Source organism: Homo sapiens, chromosome 19 (assembly GCF_000001405.40).
Source record: "Homo sapiens chromosome 19, GRCh38.p14 Primary Assembly".
NCBI classification, from domain to species: Eukaryota; Metazoa; Chordata; class Mammalia; order Primates; family Hominidae; genus Homo; species Homo sapiens.
In genome coordinates this window covers 42,836,644-42,857,705 of record NC_000019.10, presented here as the reverse complement: position 1 = coordinate 42,857,705, position 21,062 = coordinate 42,836,644, and the positions used below count along the sequence as shown (strand labels likewise).

General features: G+C 44.7%; 1 pseudogene across 1 annotated transcript; it reads left to right on the top strand.

Moving 5' to 3' along the window:
• The first annotated feature begins 1,987 nt into the window (after nucleotides 1-1,987).
• PSG10P (pregnancy specific beta-1-glycoprotein 10, pseudogene) lies at nucleotides 1,988-20,709 on the top strand (annotated as a pseudogene). Its single transcript, NR_026824.1, has 7 exons — nucleotides 1,988-2,150; nucleotides 3,392-3,757; nucleotides 12,412-12,690; nucleotides 13,093-13,347; nucleotides 17,942-18,150; nucleotides 18,328-18,411; nucleotides 20,324-20,709. The product of NR_026824.1 is annotated as a pregnancy specific beta-1-glycoprotein 10, pseudogene (transcript).
• Nucleotides 20,710-21,062: the final 353 nt, after the last annotated feature.

Genomic DNA, 21,062 nt, shown 5'->3' with positions numbered 1-21,062 from the left:
ATACAAACACGAACTCACAGAAAGTGACAAAAATCTGCGTTTGGGACATCTGATTGTGAAAGGGAGAACAGTGAACATAGAGCCACAGAGACTGGGACTCACGGGGCTGGAAGGGTGATGGAGCTGTAACATAACATATGTGTGACCTAGTGTGAAGTGTGCAGATCCATGTGGAATAAAACATGCAGCCTGGCCTGGGATTGCTGCCGTTCACACTTCCCTCCCTGTCCACCAGAGGGCGACAGAGTCCCTCCCACCCTGGAGCCTTCCTAGGGGATGCCAACCTCCCTCAGCGGAACCCACAGCCCAGCAGGATCCACCCTCATCAGGGTCACTTCGGCCTAAGTCCTCAGCTCTCTCCATGCTCCCCACACGGACTCTGTCAGCTCCTCCCTGACCTGGTGGCCACCAACCTAACACCACTCCCCCTACAGGTAGCTCCTCCCCACACACCTGCTCCTTCCCTGGGCCCAGCTAAAGGCATCTCCCAGGGCAGCACTGGTGCACGCGACGCTACACGGGGTGCTTTCCCCTCGTGGCCTCCCTCCATCCTCATCAACTCTTTCTGTCACTGCTCTCTAAATACCCGCCCCTGCTCCATCTGTCCTCTTCTCTGGGGCATCCCAGGCCAAGCCTAGCGCCGACACAGAACAGCGGCTGCCTGAGGACCCACAGCCTCCCCGGGAATCAGTCAGGCACCCTGTGACCTGCCTGCCCGCTGCACCCCGGGGTGCTCAGAGTGCGTGTGATGGTCACACACAGGCACCATCCGGGATGTGGCCACCTACCCCCAGCTGTCCCTTGGGAAGACAGACCTCTCCTGTGTGCTTGCTGGGAGAAGGGGGGTGTTATTGCTCTTTGATCCCAGAACACAACTCACCCCCACACACCCTCTCAGGTGTGAGCAAGGTCCCTCCAGACAGGCTCTCTGGCCACTGCCTCTTCCTCCTCTACAGAGAGCAGCTTGACCAGGTCAAAACCCTCAGGATAGACCCCTGGGTATGTCAGCACATGGAGGGCTGAGCCCATCATGGCCACGGAGTAAGTTGGGATGAATCTCTCCACCTCTAACCCCTGCCCTGTCCCAGGCTCCCCCTCCTGCGTCTCAATGAGCCATGTCCCACGGGGTTCCTGGGTGACTCCCCACTTCCTCCTGCACCACCAGGGGGAAGGTGTGGTGACCACAGGACAATCAGCTGGGCAGAGAAGAGAGGACATCAAAGATGGTCAGGAAGAACATGAGAAATCCTGAGCTTCAGCTCAGCCGCCAGACCCGAGGGAGCCATAGACTGACCAAGAACTGTCCCTTTGACTATGGGAATCACAGCCCCCAAAGAGCAACCAGCACAGGCCTCTCCTCCCAAGAGGCATGAGAGATTCACCCTGCACACCTCCAGGTAGGACACTTTCCTCTGTGACACCCAGGTCCTCAATGTCCATCCTTGGAAGCTGCAGCCAAGCTAGACACGATTAGAGAAAGGAAGGGTCCTTCTCACCAGGCAACACACAGCTCACACACAGCACAATGGGGCATCACTGTGACAGGGACCTGGTGCAGCTCCAGCCTCCTGCACTGCAAGGGAGAGCCAGATGGGGATGAAAGAGGGCAAAGGGCATGAATGTGCACCGCAACCAAGACCCATGGGGACACCTGGAGGCTGAGGCCCAGGACTCTGCTTGCCCAACCTGCAGGGTATGTGTGTGACTGTGGGTCTGTGTGTGTCTCTTCTGTGTGTGTGTGGGGGGGGGGGTGTGTGTCTGTGTGTGTTTGTGTCTGCACAAAGTGTGTGTTGAGGTTTGGTGAAAGAATCACTGCTGAAAAAGGCAGAGGCCTCCACAATTCCCAGGGACCTGAAACACAGACAAAAGGAAAAACAGAAGGAGGGACAAGGAGGCAGGATGTAGAGAGGAGGGGACAGAGAGGTGTCCTGGGCCTAACCCCACCCATGAGCCTGAGAAGTGCTCCTGCCCCAGGAAGAGGCTCAGCGCAGAAGGAGGAAGGACAGCACAGCCTACAGCCGTGCTCAGGAAGTTTCTGGAACCTAGGCTCATCTCCACAGAGGAGAACACACAAGCAGCAGAGACCATGGGGCCCCTCTCAGCCCCTCCCTGCACACAGCACATCAAATGGAAGGGGGTCCTGCTCACAGGTGAGGAGAGAACTTCCTGGGAGAGGACAGGAGGAGGAAGCAGAGTGACTGGATGGGGTCTCCTGGAGAGGATGGGGTTCTAAAAAATGAAAGAAGCCAGCACTTTGGGAGGCTGAGGCGAGTGGATCAGGAGATCAGGAGTTCACGATCAGTCTGGCCAACACAGTGAAGCCCTGTCTCTGCTAAAAATACAAAAATTTAACCAGGTATGGTGGTGTGCTCCTGTAATCCTAGCCACTCGGGAGGCTGAGGCAGGAGAATCACCTGAACCCGGGAGGCAGAAGTTGCAGCTAGCCGAGATAGTGCCACTGAATGCCAGCCCGGGCGACAGTACGAGAATCCGTCACAAAAAAAAAAAAAAAGAAAAAAAGAAAAAAAAAAGGAAAGAACGCTCTGTTGATGCCTGGATAGGGGAAAATACACCAGAGAGGGACAGGGGTCAAAATAGGAAAGTCACATTGAACCGGAATTGGTAAGAGGTAGGAAAATCTTAAGTGTTCTGTTTTCCTGATTAATCATCAGAGGCCAGCACATTTTGAAAAATGATAATAATAACTATATCAGATGACACTTCAAATAAAAATATAAGCAGGACATGAAATGCTGTCCTCAGCAAAAAACCTCAACAATTGGGAGAAAAAAAACACCCAGGGCATGGAGGGCCCTGAGAACTCTCACATCTACAGGAGTCTGCAGCCTGTTCCAGGCACTGGGGTGCAACCAAGATCACAAAAGTCCCTGTCCTCACGGAGCTCACGCTGTCATGGGGGGGAAGACAGACATGCAAAGAGATCTAGAATGTGAGGTCAGGTGTTGACAAGAACCCTGGAGGGAGCAGAGCAGGGAAAGGTCAGAAAGGGAAGACCCAGGGTCTCTGAAGCAGGCATCAGGAAAGAAGTCTAACGATGCCCTGATGTAAGCAGGACCTGAGGGCAGTGTGGAGGGGGCCATGCGGACCCCTGGGGAAGAGGATTCCAAACAGAAAAATGCCAAGGTCAGAAGTGTTGAAGGAATGGGCGTCATGCTGCTGACCTTGACCTAGTAGGACAGTAGGACACACACACATACACACACACAATCACACATGCCGCTTTTGTGTGTGTGTGTGTGTGTTTGTATGTGTGTGTGTGTCTGTGTTGTCAAGGCTGAGGACTGAAGAGACCTTCTCAGGACCCAGGGCCCCATGTTTTCACACCAATACACAGGTCTCAATATTGACTGATGCTCTCTCCACCTCCTAGCATCACTTTTAAACTTCTGGAACCCACCTACCATTGCCCAAGTCACGACTGAAGCCCAGCCACCCAAAGTTTCCGAGGGGAAGGATGTTCTTCTACTTGTCCACAATTTGCCCCAGAATCTTACTGGTTACATGTGGTAGAAAGGGCAAATAAGGGACCTCTACCATTACATTACATCATATGTAGTAGACGGTCAAAGAATTACATATGGGCCTGCATACAGTGGACGAGAAACAGTATATTCCAATGCATCCCTGCTGATCCAGAATGTCACCCGGGAGGACGGAGTATCCTACACCTTACACATCATACAGCGAGGTGATGGGACTAGAGGAGTAACTGGAAATTTCACCTTCACCTTATACCGTAAGTGATTCCACATGATCCCTGGGTGTTGGGGGACAGGGGTCACTTCTACTTCACACACACAGGATTGTCAGGCCTGGACTGTGCCTGTGTCCCCCTCTGCATTATGTCCCATGCTGGAGTTTGGGCATTTAGTGCAGGACACACACAGAGGAGACAAATTTCAACAGATCAGAATTCCTTTCCCACATCCAGACCCTGCAGACACTCGCTGCAGAGGAAGGACAGTCTGATGGGGGGACTCAGCAGGAGGAGATCAGTCTCAGCCAGGCACCTCATGCCCTCTTCATAAATTTGACCCTGAGAAAGACCCTGGATAACTGAGTAGGGCTTGGCCTGAGAGGCCACCTGAGATACTCTCAGAGAAGCTCAGCCCTAGAAGCCTCAACCCCAGACCCTTGTCCCTAAATCCTTGCTGCAGATAAATCTAAGGAGCCTGTACTGGGGCTGGGTTGTGGCTTCTTGGGCAGGGCTTACTGGGACCAAGGGTTTTCCAGCTGTCTGAGGACTGTGTCTCCTGCAGCTGTTCACCAGCTAGGGCTCAGCCCTCAGAGCCTCATCTGGGCAAGGACAGAGCTTTCTTCACCTGACATTCAGAGTGGAGAGGACAGAAAGACAAGCTTTGTAGGCCATCAGCCAACTGCCTTGGGAGGCTCAGGACAGTCCATAGAAAGTCTAATGTTCCCGGAAGCAGAAACAGAAGAGAGAAGGTGTAACTGGTAGCAGCTTGTCCACAGGGATCTGACATAAATGTGCTTTCTCATGGAAGCAAATTAATAATAAATGCTGTTTGTGTGAACACCTCCACTGTGCCAAGCATTAAGTCAGGTGACTGTGAATACTTTAACATTTATTCACAGATAGCATGAAAAGCCACAGTCCATTTGCCAGTTAACTTATTTGATTGAGAGAAAACAGAGGCACAGGAAGGCACAGTCTTTGAACCAGAGTCACACAAACCCAAAGGGGAGATCAGGGTCACATGAGGTCTGTCTGCAGCCACAGGCCCATCCTCTCCTCCACCAGAAGTGAGGGCTTACTGGGTTTCAAGCACCCCATAGTCATTTATTGGCTCAAATCCTCTCTTCTTAGGCATCCAAACCTCAGAGGAGTGAGAGCAAATGGTCAGCTGATTAGTCTGTACTCCAGAACTAAATCACCTGCCTCAACCATCAGAGTCAGTGCAAAAAAAATGTCCAGGCCTCCCCCTCAGATCTTAACCCCCATCACTGAACCTGAAATCCTGTGTTTCCCAAAGTGTCCATGTTACTGTCATGAGAGGATCAAGGAGAGGACCTTGTTTTCTTTCCCCACTCACACCCTGCACCAGCACAGGCCCAGCCAGAGACACATACTCAGGAGCTCTCACATAACAAATGAAGGAATCAAATGAAGAAATGAATGATCCAAAACCTCTTTAGAGACTGGATCTTGGATGCAGAATCCTAGGAGGTCCTAGCCACACCTGTCCCTTGTCCTTCAGAGGCTGACACCCATGTTTCATCCCCCTACTACCTCTTGCCCCTAAAGCCACCCCACCTCATGCAACTCTGAAGCTCTTTGGCCACCGGAGGGTTCTCAGGGCTCCTTGGTCCTGGACTGAGGAAATGGGGGCACCTGGTACCTGGGGTCTCTGAAGTCAGTGTCTCCCTCACTGCTCACTGCCATGGTGTCTCTGCCTCTCTCTGCTTCTCTGTGTCCCTCATCTTCCTCCCACTTCATTCTGACTGGCAAGCCCTGTCCTGCACAGCTTCTTCCTCCACACCTAGGCCTTCCCCAGACACTCCCTCTAATTAGTCTGGCAGTTCTGTTCCCTTCCTGCTAACACTGTGGCCTGGCCCACCTCCCAGGAAATAGGAAAGGTGTAGAAATCACCTGGAGTTGCCACTCCTGCCGGGCTTTATCTCCAGCCAATGTCCCCAGGTCACTAAGAGAATGAGCTTCCAATGTATTCCCATCTAGGGCTCTTTCCCTTTGTGAGGCTGACCTGTGGACAAGACCATGGGACAGGGATAGGCAGTTCTCCATCCACTGTTATCATTGCCAGACAAGTTCTTCTGGCCTTCTGCACACACAGACACAAACACACACACAAAAAAAAAATTATTGAAATGGTGGTTTGTAGTAAAGAAAGATTTTAATGACTCCAAGTCTGCCAAACAGGAGGACAGAGGTTTATTATTACTCAAATCAGCCTCCCCAGTGGATCAGGTGTTAGACATTTCCAAGGATGATTTCAGGGACACAGGACTAAAAAATGAGTACTGCTGATTGTTTGGTGATGGAATCATGCGGGCGGAGGGAAATGAACTGTTTGTGCTTGAATCCACTTCTAGGTAGGGACCACATGGCTGGCTGAGCCATTAGTCATGGGTATGGATGAGGTCAGCCAGTTGCCAGAATGCAAAAGAATGAAAAACATCTCAAAAGACTAATCTCACGTTCTGCAATAGTGATGTTATCTATGGGAGCAATTAGTTACAAATTTTGTAAACTCTGGCCAAATGACATTTGATCAGTCAGGGATTATAGAAACTGTGCCTACATTGTAGCAGAATTCGGTTCCCTCCTATAATCTCAATCTCATGGTCTTTCACTAGTTTTAGAAAGGCAGCCCCTGGGCAAAGTAAGGGTGTTAGTTTTATGGAGGTACTATTATCTTTCTTGTTTCAAAGTTAAACCATAAACTAAATTCCTCCCAATGTTAGCCTGGCCTATGCCCAGGAATGAGTGAGGACAGCCAGCCTGAGACTAGATGCCAGATGGAGTCAGCCACGCTAGTTTCCTGTCACTGTTGTAATCTTTGCTCTGACTCACCAGGGTGTCAGAGGCTGGACAGGCCTGCAGTCCCCAAAGCCCATGGGCTCATTTCACTCGTGACTCCATCCTCAACCTGCTGTGGAGCTCACATTCTCCAGTCACTTCCTAGAGACTTCTGGCTTCCTGTCAGGCATATAACAAGCTTGAAATTTGTCACTCGGTTCTAACGCTAAGTAAAAACTGAACAAACTCAAAAGTCAACAACTCGTTAAAATCCTTCAGAGATGGCTGGGCACAGTGGCTCATGCCTATAATCCCAGCACTTTGGGAGGCCAAGGCGGGCACAAGTTCACGAGATAGAGACCATCCTGGCTAACATGGTGAAACCCCGTCTCTACTAAAAATACAAAAAATTAGCTGGGCTTGGTGGTGGGCACCTGTAGTGCCAGCTACTTGGGAGGTTGAGGCAGGAGAATGGCATGAACCCGCGAGGCGGAACTTGCAGTGAGCTGAGATCATGCCACTGCACTCCAGCCGGGGTGACAGAGTGAGACTCTGTCTCAGAAAATAAAAAATGCTGTTAGAGAAATGAAGAATGCTTTTGATGCTTACTGGTAGACTGCACAGAGCTGAGGAAAGAATCCCTAGCTTGAGGATGTGTCAATAGAAACTTCCAAAACTGAAACAAGAAAGGTCAAAAAGAGTGGGGAAAAAAAGTGGAACAACATATTCGCCTTCATATTTAATATTTTGTTTTGACAATAGCAATTTTTAAATTTCTTTGTTGTGGGACAACTACAAAGGCTGTAACCTACATGTAATGGGAATACTGGTGGTTTTGGGGACCAGCTGGAGGTGGCCAGGTGGGTGCTATCTGATGGTATTACTGCCTGTGCCACATACAACTGTTTCCTCATGATGATGCTGCTTTCATAAGTTCGAGTTCTTCCTGTGGGGAGACACACGAGCCATTGGCATCTCACTTAGACTCTTCCTAATTCACACAAACTTAAACTCTAGTGTTATTTCCTGAACTTAAGAGAGAACGAAGAAAGTATTTCACATACCTGCTTTGTGCTCCTCCCGATTTTTCCTAACTCGGCACAGAAAGCAGAAGCAGGGAGTTCTTTCTATATTTACTAACATAACACACATCACTTCTTTTAATTTGGCATCATTCCTCCCTTTATGTAATTGACACACTACCCAGTTTTGTCCTTTTAACGGGACTCTCTCTACTTAAGGAGTTGCTAATTTCAAATCACCTTTGGCATCTTTCTTTGAGCATAATGTGATCCTGCTGGAATTCATGGCACACCTAAACCTTATGTTGGCCTCAAGAGAAATACTACTACCAGCAATTGATCTCAGATGTTTGGACCATCAGTAAAAATTCCCACTTATGAAAACATTTCAATGTTTCCTCCAAATTTTTTTTTGTTACTAGAGTCAGAACATAACATGAGGTCTAAAGTCCTGAAAACTTTTTATGGGAAAATTACAGTATTACAAATTGAGCATCTGAAATCCAGAAATCCACAATCTGAAATGCTCAAAACTCAACACTTCTGACCACTGATGTGATGCTAAAAAGAAGTGCTCACTGGCGCATTGTGGATTTTAAATTTTTCAGATTTGGGATGCTAAACCAGTACATGTACTGCAAATATTCCAAAATAAAAAAATAATTAGACATCCAAAACACTTTGTTTTAAGCTTTCTGCATAAGGAGCACTGTATCTGCATGAAGTATAGGCACGAGGCTGCACAGGAGATCTCTAGAACCTCCTCATCCTGCATAACTGAAACCGCACACCCACGGAACAACGCCCTATTCCCCTGATCCCAGCTCCTGCAAACTACTATTCTACTCTCTGATTCACTCTGGAATCCACTGATATCAGGTACATAGAGTAGTCAAACTCAGAATCAGAGAGTAGAATGTCTAATGAGAGAAAGTATCTGCAAGACTTCTTCCCAAATATTGGTCTAATATCCACCAAACACATATGGTCCATGAGGGCCAGACTTCCATCATCAGTTCATGTTTGCCCTTTCCACCAGTCAGTTCTGCATTTGCAAACATCCACATGTATTTCCAGAAAGATCCACATGGTCCTCACCTGCCCTCTACAGGGGGAAGGGAGCATCATGGACCCAGAACAGGGAACGTGGTCTTCGTCCAAAGCTATCAGCTCTTGCCTGTCCCCTTCACTCTTTGTAGGTCATTCCTTGGACTCTGCTCTATCTTTAGAGGTCACTGGCTCAAGTCAGTCACTATGAGACATCTGGGAAAACTGCCCCACCTTGTGGCTCCACTGCCTGATGACTGAACTGACCTCCAGGCTTGACTCTGGTCTCCCCTGTGTTATTTCTGCTGAAGTACCCAGTCCCAGGCCAGGCTTTCCAGTACCCAAAGGGTTTAAGGACAATGGGAAGTTCCATCATCCATCTCTAGGATGTCCTTGGAAAGGGAAGCTGCAGAGAAAACATGCCTCGGGGGCAAAGTAAGACTGAAGCTAAGAAGATTCCAGCACTGCATGCTCCAAGTGAGGACCAAAAGGTGGGCCAGGCAGGCAGTTGGAGATGGAGGGACTCAGAGAGGCACCAGGGGCTGTGACTGCTGGTCCTGTGTCTTTCCATGACCCAATGCTGCTGCTCAATTCACACTTGAGAAAGTCTGTGCTTCTCCCACATGAAGCAGGCAGCCTCACAATCTCTGAGCCCTCAGATTGCCATGCATCTGTCTTGTAACACACACACCTGCCATGGGCTTTTAAGGACTCGGGTGGGCTGAGAGGTTGGAAATGCCAACTCTGATTGAAAAATGCCTTTGGAGGAATCAAAGGTGCCACACAGGGCAATCTTCTCCCTGTTTTCTGCACAGTGGAGACTCCCAAGCCCTCCATCTCCAGCAGCAAATTAAACCCCAGGGAGATCATGGAGGCTGTGATCTTAATCTGTGATCCTGCAACTCCGAACGCAAGCTACCTGTGGTGGATGAATGGTCAGAACCTCCCTACCACTCAAAGGTTGCAGCTGTCCAAAACCAACAGGACCCTCTTTATATTTGGTGCCACAAAGTATACTGCAGGACCCTATGAATGTGAAATACGGAACCCAGTGAGTGCCAGCCGCAGTGACCCATTCACCCTGAATCTCCTCCGTGACTATCTTCTGTTCCTCTGTGAGCCACGCTGCCATCCCAAATACACATGGCCAGAGGCCAGGCCTCTCAGTCCCTCTCAGGTCCAAGTACAGAGACCTTTATCCCTGGACATCAAAACTGGCCATGACTTTCTGCCCCAGGAAAACAAGAGTAGGCCTAGGCTTGATCCACAATAGGAGAAAAGAGGCTGCTCCTGTCATGGGAGACTCATGGTCCAGAGCTTGTGATGGGAGAAACAGGTGAATGTCTCACTCTCCAGATCAGTGAACACAGCAGGGATTTTCTTGGGACTTCAGTGTTGCGACTTGGCTCACGGGGCAACTGTGGCCCTTCCACAGACCAGGATTTTCCCTTCCCTCTGACAATATCACCTGTGACCTTATTCTCTTTGCTCCAGATGGCCTGGATGCCCCCACCATTTCTTCCTCATACACCTATTACCATACAAGGGAAGTCCCCAAGCTCTCCTGCCTCACAGACTCTCACCCACTAGCAGAGCATTCTTGGCTGATTGATGGGAAGTTCCAGCAATCAGCACAAGTGTTATTTATACCCCAAATCACCAAAACATATAGAGGGGTCTATGTCTGTTTCATCCATAACTCAGCCATTGGTGGAACAAATCTCATAATCAAGAGGATCATAGTCCCTGGTGAGTGGATCCCTGGAGGACTGGCAATATGTTTTCCAGTGAAGTCTATCTAGCTATCAGGGAAGAGCCACCTGCCCTCTGCAAAGGGAGAGGGAAAATCAAAAACCCAGGACAGGGAATATGTTTCTGCTCCAAAACCACCAGCTTTTCCTGTCCCTTTCACTCTTTCTAGATCATTCTTTACACTATACACTAACAATGAACTATCTGAAGGGAAATTAAGAAAAGAATTTCAATTCACATTAACATCAAAAGGAATAAACTATTTTGGAATAAGTTTAACCAAAAAGGTCAAATGATTATACACTGAAGACTACAAAACATTGCTGAAAGAAATTAAATGCAATATCAATATATGGAAAGACATTTCATTTTCATGGATTGGAAGAGTCAATATTGTTAGAAAGACAATACTACCCAAAGTGAGTTGCAGATTCAATGCAACCCCTAGCAGAATCGCAGTAAAATTTTTTGCAGAATCAGAAAACTCTGTCCTAAATCTGACCTGACAGGCTGTTATTAATCACTGCCACAACACAAACACTGAGAAAAAGATGATGCAGCCATGAAAAGGTGGAAAGTTCTGATGACACAGAAAATAGCAATCAGGCTTTCTCACATCCCAAAACCTTCAAAAACATACGAGTGCAGCATGGCCAGTATGGAATTGACCAAAAACTAATCACCAAGCTAGAAATGTGGTGAGAGAAAAAAAAAGGGCAAGAATATCTTTGGCTTATCACCTCCCACTTTTGCCTACTAATCTGATGCTGAAAAGAAATGCTCACTGGAGCATTTTAGATTTTGAATCTTTCAGATTTGGGATGCTAAACCAGTAAGTATATGACAAATATTTCAGAATCAAAAAATGTCAGAAATCCAAAACACTTTTTGTCCTAAGTCTTATGCATAAGAAATACTCAATCTGTGTGAACTATAGGTATCAAGCTCGACAGCCAATCTCTATAACCTCCCCACCTTGCATAACTGAAACTGCACACCCATGAACAATTTCTGATTCTCCCCACTCCCAGCTCCTGGAAACCAGCAGTCTCTTCTCATATTCACTCTGGAATCCACTTACATGAGGTCCCTAGAGTAGTCGAACCCATGGAATCAGAGAGTAGAATGTCCAATGAAATAAAATATTTGCAAAACTTCTCTCTAAATTTGTATCATATCCATCAAACACACATGGTCCATGAGGACCAGATTTCCAGCAGTTCATTCCCACCCTTTCCACCAATCAGTTCTGCATATGCAAATGTCCACATGTATTTCTGGAAAGATCCACATGGTCCTCACCTGCCCTCTGCAGAAGGAGAGGAAACTTGAACGCAGGACAGGCAACATGGTTCTGCTCCAAAGCCTCCAGCTCTTGCCTGTCCCCTTCACTCTTTCTAGATCATTCCTTGCACTCTGCTCTATCTTTAGAGGTCACTGGTTCAAGTAAGTCATCATGAAACACCTGCAAAAAACTGCCCCACCTTTTGCCTCCACTGCCTGTAGACTGAACTGACCTCCAGGCTTGACTATGGTCTCTGCTGTCTTATTTTTGCTGAAACATCCAGTCCCAGGCCAGGCTGCTCAGTATATTCAGGGTTTCAGGACAATGGGAAGTCCCATTATTACTCATCTCTAGAATGTCCTTGGAAATGGAAGCTGCAGAGAAATCACGTCTAGGGGGACAAAGTAGGATGGAATTTGGAAGGGGCCCAGCAGTTGCATATTCCAGGTAAGGAACCCAAGGTGAGCCAGCCAGTCAACTGATTAGGGAGGGACTGGGAGGGGTACCAGGGGCTGTGACTCCTACTGATGTGTCTGTCCATGACCCAACACTGCTGCTCAATTGACACTTGAGAAAGTCTATGCTTCCCTAAGACAGAGCAGGCGGCCTCACAGTCTTTGAGCCCTTAGATCATCATACATCTGTCTTGTGACACATGCACCAGCTATTGGCTTTCAAGGACTCGCGTGGGATGACAGGTGGGAGATGCCAACTCTGATTGAGGGATGCCTGTGGAGGAATCAAAGGTGTCACACAGGACAATCTTCTCTCTGTTATCCACACAGCGAAGCTGCCCAAGCCCTACATCACCATCAACAACTCAAAACCCAGGGAGAATAAGGATGTCTTACCCTTCACCTGTGACCCTAAAAGTGAGAACTACACCTACACGTGGTGGCTAAATGGTCAGAGCCTCCCAGTCAGTCCCAGGGTAAAGTGACCCATTGAAAACAGGATCCTCATTCTACCCAGTGTCACGAGAAATGAAACAGGACCCTATCAATGTGAAATACGGGACCGATATGGTGGCATCCGCAGTAACCCAGTCACCCTGAATGTCCTCTGTGAGTATCTTTTGTTCCTCTGTGGGCCAGGACACCAGCTTAACTCTAAATGACCACAAGCCAGTCCTCTCAGTCTTTCTCCGGTCCAAGTATAGACACCTTTACTTCTGGACATCCGAGCTGGCCATGACTCCCTGCCCTGGGAAATCCTGGGTAGGCACAGCCTTAACCAAGAATATAAGGGGAGGGGACGCTCTTGTCATGGGAGACTTGGTGCCCATAGCTTGTGATTGGGGAGAAACAGGTGAATACCTCAGGCTTCAGCTCAGTGAACATAGAGGGGGTTCGGCTGGGACTTGAAGGTGTGTCTTGGCTCAGAGGGTCACTGTGTCCCTTTAAGAGACCAGGAGCATCCCCTTCCCTCGGATGACATCACCTGTGGCTTTATTCTCTTTGCTCCAGATGGTCCAGACCTCCCCAGAATTTACCCTTCATTCACCTATTACCGTTCAGGACAAAACCTTTACTTGTCCTGCTTCGCGGAATGTAACCCACCGGCATAGTACTCTTGGACAATTAATGGGAAGTTTCAGCAATCAGAACAAAAGCTCTTTATCCCCCAAATTACTACAAAGCATAGAGGGCTCTATGCTTGCTCTGTTCGTAACTCAGCCACTGGCAAGGAAAGCTCCAAATCCATGACAGTCGAAGTCTCTGGTAAGTGGATCCCAGCATCCTTGGCAATAGGGTTTTAGGTGGAGTCTATCTGGCTTTCAGAGAAGAGTTAGGAAAACATTTTTATTCCCAGCCTGTGTCCCATGGGCACAAGCAAATCCCAAATTCTCCTCCTGAACCCTCCCAATTTGTCTCTACAGACTCTCTTCTTGTTTTTGTTTTCTCATGGCTGACCTTGTGTCTGGCCTAAGAAAGTTAGGGAGGGGGCTTTATCAGCCCTGAGCCCTATGTGGTAGAAGAGACTTCAGAGACGGATGAGAAGGAGAGTCCTCAAGATCAAGTTGCTTCTCGATGTCACCAACACATCCCCTTCTGCCACGTCTTTGTTTTCTTGTACCTCTTCCATGAGCTACAAGGAACATCTGAGGCTTTGAAACAAGCTCACACTGTTCCCCCAAATGAGACGGGGAAGCCCCTTGGGTGAGGGAGGAGCAGCTCAGACTCTGCTTCCTGCTCTGCTCCAGGCTCCTCTGGTGACTGGCCCTGCCTGACTCCACCTGGGGTGGGACCAGCATGTGTGGAGAAAGAGCCCTGGTGGCCTGTCCTGAATTTGGCTAAATCGAGCTGCCAGTTGAAGCCAAGCCTCCCCCGGGCCAGGCTGCAGGGAAATAAGAAGAGAGGGAGCCTCAGGGCAGACTCCTGAGCTGCGTCCTGGCTCTGAAGTCACCGGCTGTATGAGGCTGTGGGCACAGCATGTGGGACACAGCACGGAGGATAGTGACTGATGCAGAGCTGGAGAAATAGGGAGATTCACCCCTGGGGCTCTGCATCGCAGGAAAGGGGCAGTGCCAAAAAGTGTGTAATTATAGAGAGGGTAAGACTACCAAACACTTTATATATATCTAATATAAGACTTACCATTAACTATTTCTAAGTGTGCAATTTAGTGTTGTGTAACCATCACACTATCCATTTCCAGAACTTTTTCCTCTTACCATATTAAACCTCTGTACCCAATGAACAGTAACTCACTCCTTCTCCCCATAACCCTTAGCACACAACATTCTACATTCTGTCTCTATGTAACTGGCTATTCTAACTATCTTTTATAAATGGAATTATATGATAATTATCCTTTTGTGTCTGGCTTATTTCAGTTAGCATAATATCTTTAAGGTTCATCCATTTTGCACGATGTATTGGAATTTTATTCCTTGTTAAGGTTGAATAACATTTTAATTGTAGATACACCTCATTTGCCTACCCACTTATCTTTCAATGGACTTTTTGGTTGTTTCCATTTTTTGGCTAGTGTGAGTAATGCTTCTCTGAACATCAGAGTACAAATATTTCTTCAAATTTCTTTCAATTCTATGTGGAGTATGTCCAGAAGTGGAATTGCTGGATCAAATGGTAATTTATTGTTTAATTTTTTGAGAAACAGCCACACCACTTTTTACAGTGGCTATAACATTTCCCATTCCCATCAAGTGTGTGAGGTGGTGTAACATTGTGGTTTTGATTTGCATATCTCTAACTATTCATGATGCTGAGGAACTTTGCATGGGCTTATTGGATATTTGTATATCTTCCTTGGAGAAAACTCCATTTTAATCCTTTGTTCATTTTTTAATTGGGTTTTTGGATGTCTGCTGTTGTTGACTTGTAGCTTTTCATGTATTCTGGAAATTAATTTCTTATCACACATATAATTTGCAAATATTTTTATCATTTCATGGGTTGCCTTTTTACCTTCCTGATAATGTTCTTCGATATACAAAAGGTTTTGATTTTTGTGAAGTCCAATTTATCAATTTTATTTGTTGCCTATGCTTTTGTTGTTACAACCAAGAAATCATTGTGAAATCCAGTATCATGGACCTTTTCTTCTAAGAGTTGTATAGTTTTTGCTCTTACATTTAGATCTTTCATGTATTGTGGGTTAATTTTTGCACATGGTGTTAGGTAAAGGTTCCACTCTTCTTGCCCTTGGATATCCAGCTTTTCCAATATCATTTGGTGAGAACACTGTCCCTTCCCCATTGAACGATCTTGGCACACTCGATGAAAATCATTTGGCCATATATGCAAGCATTTCTTTCTAGGTTATTATATTTCATTAATTTCTATGTCCTCCTTTATGCCAGTACCACACTGTATTGATTACTGGGGCTTTGTAGTAAATGCTGAAATCAGGAAGTGTGAGTCCTCCAGCTTCATTCTTCCTCTTCAAAGCTGTGTGTCTATTTAGAGTCATGAGATGCAATATAAATTTTAGGACAGATTTTTCTTTTTCTGCAAAAATGTCACTGAGATTCTGATAAGAATTGTATTGAATCTGCAGCTCACTTTGGGTAGCACTGTCCTCCTAACCAAATTGAGTCTTCCAATTCATGAAAACAAAATGTCTTTCAATTTATTGATGTCTTCTTTCATTTCTTTCAGCAATATTTTGTAGATTTCGGGTATAATCATTTCACCTCTTTGGTTAAACTTATTCCTAAATATTTTATTCTTTTTGATGTTAATAGAAATTGAATTTTTTTTTCTTAATTTCCCTTCAGATTGTTCATGGTTAGTGTATTGAAATACAACTGATGTTTGAATGTTGATTTTGTATTGTGCAACATTACTGAATTTATTTATTAGTCCTAATAGATTTGTTCCATCTTTAGGATTTTCTACATATAAGTTCAAGTTATCTGTAAACAGAAATAATTTTACTCCTTCCTTCCAATTTGAATGTCTTTTTTAAAATTCTTGCCTAATTTTTCTGACTAGACCTTTCAATATTATATTGAATAAAAGTGTCAAAAGCAGGCATCCTTGTCTTCTTCCTGCTCATACAGGGAAAGCTTTCAGTCTTTCTCTATTGAGTATGATGTTAGCATTGGGTTTTTCACATATTGCCTTTATGTTGAGGTGGTTTCCTTCCATTCTTAGAATGTTTTTATTATGAAAAAATACTGAATTTCATCAATTACTTTTATTGATTCAATCTTATTACTGATTATAGTTCTATTCATATATTTGTGTGTTTCTAAGAGTTTGTCTACTTCATATAGGTTATCCAATTTATTAGCATACAATTATTTATACTACTTTCATAATCATTATTTTATTAGAATTGGTAGTAATCGCTTCATTTTTCTTTTTTTTTTTTTTTTTTTTTTTTTGAAGAGAGAGGGACAGGCTCTCACTCTGTAGGCCACCCTAGGATGGAATACAGTGGTGTGTCTATGGCTCACTGCAGCCTCAACCTCCTGGGCTCAAGCAATTCTCCTTCTTCAGCCTCCCAAGATGCTAGGACTACAGGTGCATGTCACCATGCCCAGCTAATTGGTTTTTTATTTTTTGTAGAGACAGCATCTCCCAGGGTTAACTATGCTGGCCCAAACACTTGGTCTCAAGAAATCCTTCCGCTGTGACCTCCCAAAGTGCTAGGATTAAAACACGACCCACCATGCTCAGAGTCCATTTTCATTTCTGATTTTAGTAATTTTAAACTTTTCTCTTTTTTTCTTAGTCAATCTAGTTAATGGTTGTCAATTTTGTTGATTTTATTTTGAAGAATCAACTTTTGGTTTCAGTAATTTCCTCTATTATTTTTCCATTCTCCATTTTATTTATATCCACTCTAATCCTTATTATTTCCCTCATTCACTGTGCTTGGGTTTAGTTTGTTCTTCTTTCATATCCTGAAGTATTAAAGTAGGTTGTTGACCTGAGCTCTTTCTTCTTTTTTAATGTAAGAGTTTACAGTTATAAATTTCTTGCACAAGACTCAACTTCTCTGAACCTCTGATTCCTCACCTGAAAACTGCAATGAGGCTACTTTCTTCATACAATTCTTTTAAAGGTTTAATACAGTCAATGAAACAAGATGCCACACACAGAGGAACCAATGTCAGCTACCATATTACTACCATTATCATTAGCCTTGAGGTCAAATAGTCCTAGAATCAAATCTCAGATCCACCTGTCACTAGCCATATGACACCAGGAAAGATTTTACACCACGCTAAGCTTCTGTCTTTTCATTGCCAAAATGGAAATAATGTCTACCTGACAGGGTTATTGTGTGGCTTAAATGAGATACAGGTAAAGTATTGAGCACAGGGCCTGGCACATAGGAAGTGCACCTCAACAGTACCTTCCTTTTTCCATACATATGGAAAAAGAGGTAACACATAGAACACTAGAACATGGCTACTGACTACTTGTGGGAGAGAAAGAAAAAAAGCTAAGTGCAAAGAATCAAGCCTGGTATGTTAGTTTTTACCAATTGAGATGCATCCAAGATGGGATTAGACATACAAGATAATTTATCAGGGAAGACACCTCTGAGGGAATGTGGGGCAGGCATGAAGGTAGTATGGGAGAACCCACAGACCACTATCCAGGGCTGATTCCTGTGAAAAGGAAAGAGAAATAAGTTTTAGGTACCAATGCAATTCTAAGAGTTTTTGCAAGGCTGATGGGGAATCCTCCAACCAGTCACCCATTGGAGTTAAAGAGATCCTCAGAGAACTAGGCTTGCTTTCACACCCTTCCTGGGAGCCTGTAGGAAAGAAGCTTTCTGTGCAAAGGAGGTGGTGAATTTGAAATGTACTGATCTGGGCCTTCTGTAAATCAGGTGCCTGCCATGGAGACCTGGCAGGGTCTCATTCGTGACTGCCATAACAGAGACACTGAGAAAAAGATGCAACCATGGAAAGGTGCAAAGGTGGCAAGTTCTAATGACATAGAAAATAGCAATCAGCCTTTCTCACATCTGAAAGCCTTCCAAAATATCTGAGTGCAGTAGAGAATTGACAGAGGACTGATCACCAACCTAGAAGTATGGTAAGAGGGAAAAAAAACTGCAAGAATATAATCATCTCCCATCAATTTTCCAACAGAAATAATGTAGTCCTTGAAGAAACAATTATAGAGTACCTCATGCTACATGCCTGTTCCTCAAGCTCCCCCATGTAAAATAACATCATCTTCATTCCTTCTTTTCTTTTCTTTCCATGACAGCTCCTCCAGGAATAGGACGTCTTCCTTTCTTTACTCCAATAGAGCAGCGGTGATGTCATTTCTGTATTTCAGGAAGACTGGCAGGTATGATGGCCTTTTCTCTTATCCTGGTTCCTGCAGGGCTGACTGCCATGCTTGGGAGAGGGAAAAGACTTATTTGCTTGTATCTGGGACTGCATCTCCTCCTTCCTCCACTAAACTCCTGCTTCTCAGCACTAATTCCTACAGTTCCCTTTCTCCCTGGCCTTTATGCTCCCTGTACCCCACTGTCTTTTAGACATAATTATCTCCAGCCTCTGCTCATTTGTTTCTCAGATTCAAATGAGAAACACAATTTCACATGATGAAACCCTCTTCGTTACTTTTAACATCTCTCAATACTGTAATTCTCTCAATTCCCATAAAGCTCAACCACTTCTCAAAGTATTGCTTGACTTCTTGTCTCCAGACTTTGAAATCTTCCTTGCATATGACTGCCTCATTACCTTTCTAAAATCTAGTTAATTCACTTAATCAAGAATCTCCAGTGGTCTACTCTAGCCACTTTGATAAGTTCACATTTCTTCTATTTACTAAGCCTTCTCACTTCCTTTACCTCTACTTCCTAGTATAATTCCTTCATCCTAATTAGAACTGTCTTCCTACACATCCCTGCCCCTTCACCCATATAGACATAAAATTCTTAGTTCCAATGCTATGTCTAAAAACAGTGAAATCCCTTCCACCATCTGCACTGCAGACTTAACCACACCCTTCATCACAAGCAACATCTGACCTCGTGGAGAACAAAGACTTTAGGATTAACATGTGAACCTGAGACTCAGGACACAACCTATGTGTGGTTGAGACCTTTTCCTGATGACCAGTTCATGTGTTTAAAAAAGATACAGAAATGAAGAAGGCAAGGTCCCTACGCCAGGAGACATAAAGCCTAAGACAGGAAATGAGACCTGAAAATAATCATGATACCAAAATAGAAAAAATTGAATGCCACAAGAAATCAGAGAAATCTGATGGGAAATAGAGCTACACATTGGAATCACTGGAAAACATTTTTAAAAGTGGATGCTCAAGCCCCACCCATTAGTTCCAGTTTAAAGGTCTGGAGACGGACCCAGGCATTGGTAATTTTTAAGTCTTCCCTGACACTACTAACATGTAACAAGGATGGAGAACTCTTATTGTAATAGGTAGAACTTAAAACTAAATCAATGATTTTCTGCTGGAAGTACTGGAATTACCTAAGGACCTTTTTCAACATACATAAGACTATACTTTTTTGGTCCTATTTATGAATGGGCTACACCAACAACTCAGTAATCCTCTTGAGAAACAGAAGCTGAACGGAAAATCCACCTTATTTTATATATTAAATTTATAGAAAGCATTTTCAAATAAGGGATAATTGATGCTAAACCTTCTCTAAATAATATTTATGGGAATGTTAATAATATGAGTATTCTAGGCTGGGCGTGATGTCTCACGCCTGTAATCCCAGCAATTTCAGAGGCCGAGGTGGGCAGATCACGAGGTCAGGAGATCGAGACCATCCTGGCTAACACGGTGAAACCCCATCTCTACTAAAAATGCAAAAACAAAATTAGCCAGGTGTGGTGGCAGGCACCTGTAGCCCCAGCTACTCAGGAGGCTGAGGCAGGAGAATGGCATGGACCCAGGAGGCGGAGCTTGCAGTGAACTGAGATCGCACCACTGCACTCCAGCCTGGGTGAGAGAGTGACACTCCATCTCAAAAAAAATTTTTTTAATGAGTATTATAAAAATTATATGAAATTTCTGGAAATCAAATATGTTATCATAGTGTCTTATGCCACAGAAGTAACTAGATTTCTATGTGAGCTGTGTCTTTACCATAATAAATTCTCATTAGATTTTTAACCATAGTCATTTTAAATCTTTGTCATTCCCAGACAGTTGCTTTGATTCTTCCTCAAAGTATTTACCATCAGCTACAGTCCAAAATTGCTTTTTCTTCAAGGAGATTTATGGAAAAGACTCTGACAAGGACTCTGGAATACAAGCTCCTGATAACTTCAAGATCATACCACTGGACTAAGAACTTTCAAAATTTTAATGAACAGGCTGATACCTTCATGAAATTCAAGACAAAGAAGAAAAAAAACTCAATTTTATTGGAATAAATAATCAAAAGGATAATGTTTTCATAATTTTCTATTTGAAAATGTGCTGAGTCTTTGAATGTTTTATTCTCCAGATTTATGAACTTTTTTCCTTGAACAATTGGTAAAGTATACTTTTGTAAACAAAAATTGAAACATTTGCTTTTGCTGAGTGCCCCAGAATTGGGAAACTATTCATGAGTATTCATATGTTTATGGTAATAAAGTTATTTGCACAACTTCAGTAAGGATCTGCTCTCTTTATAACAGGACACATTTGAAAACATCGGTTATATTACCAAGGCTTTGACTGGGATGTTATATTTGAGAATATACATAGAATAAACCCATAGGGAATGCAGGCAAAGTCTGAAGTTGCCCTTGGTTTGGCTTCCTAGTCTCAAGAGGTTTTTGGAAGTTTAATCTGAGATTCTTATTAAAAACTTCTAGCAAAGCGAAGTTTAAAAAGAGCCTCTATGGTCCATTGCTACTCTTGCCGCACTTAGGTAAAAAGTCTGGGCAAGTTCGGTGAGACTCAACCTATTTTGCAAACAAATTCATCCTACTGGAATTATCTTTGGTAAAAATAGAGACTCC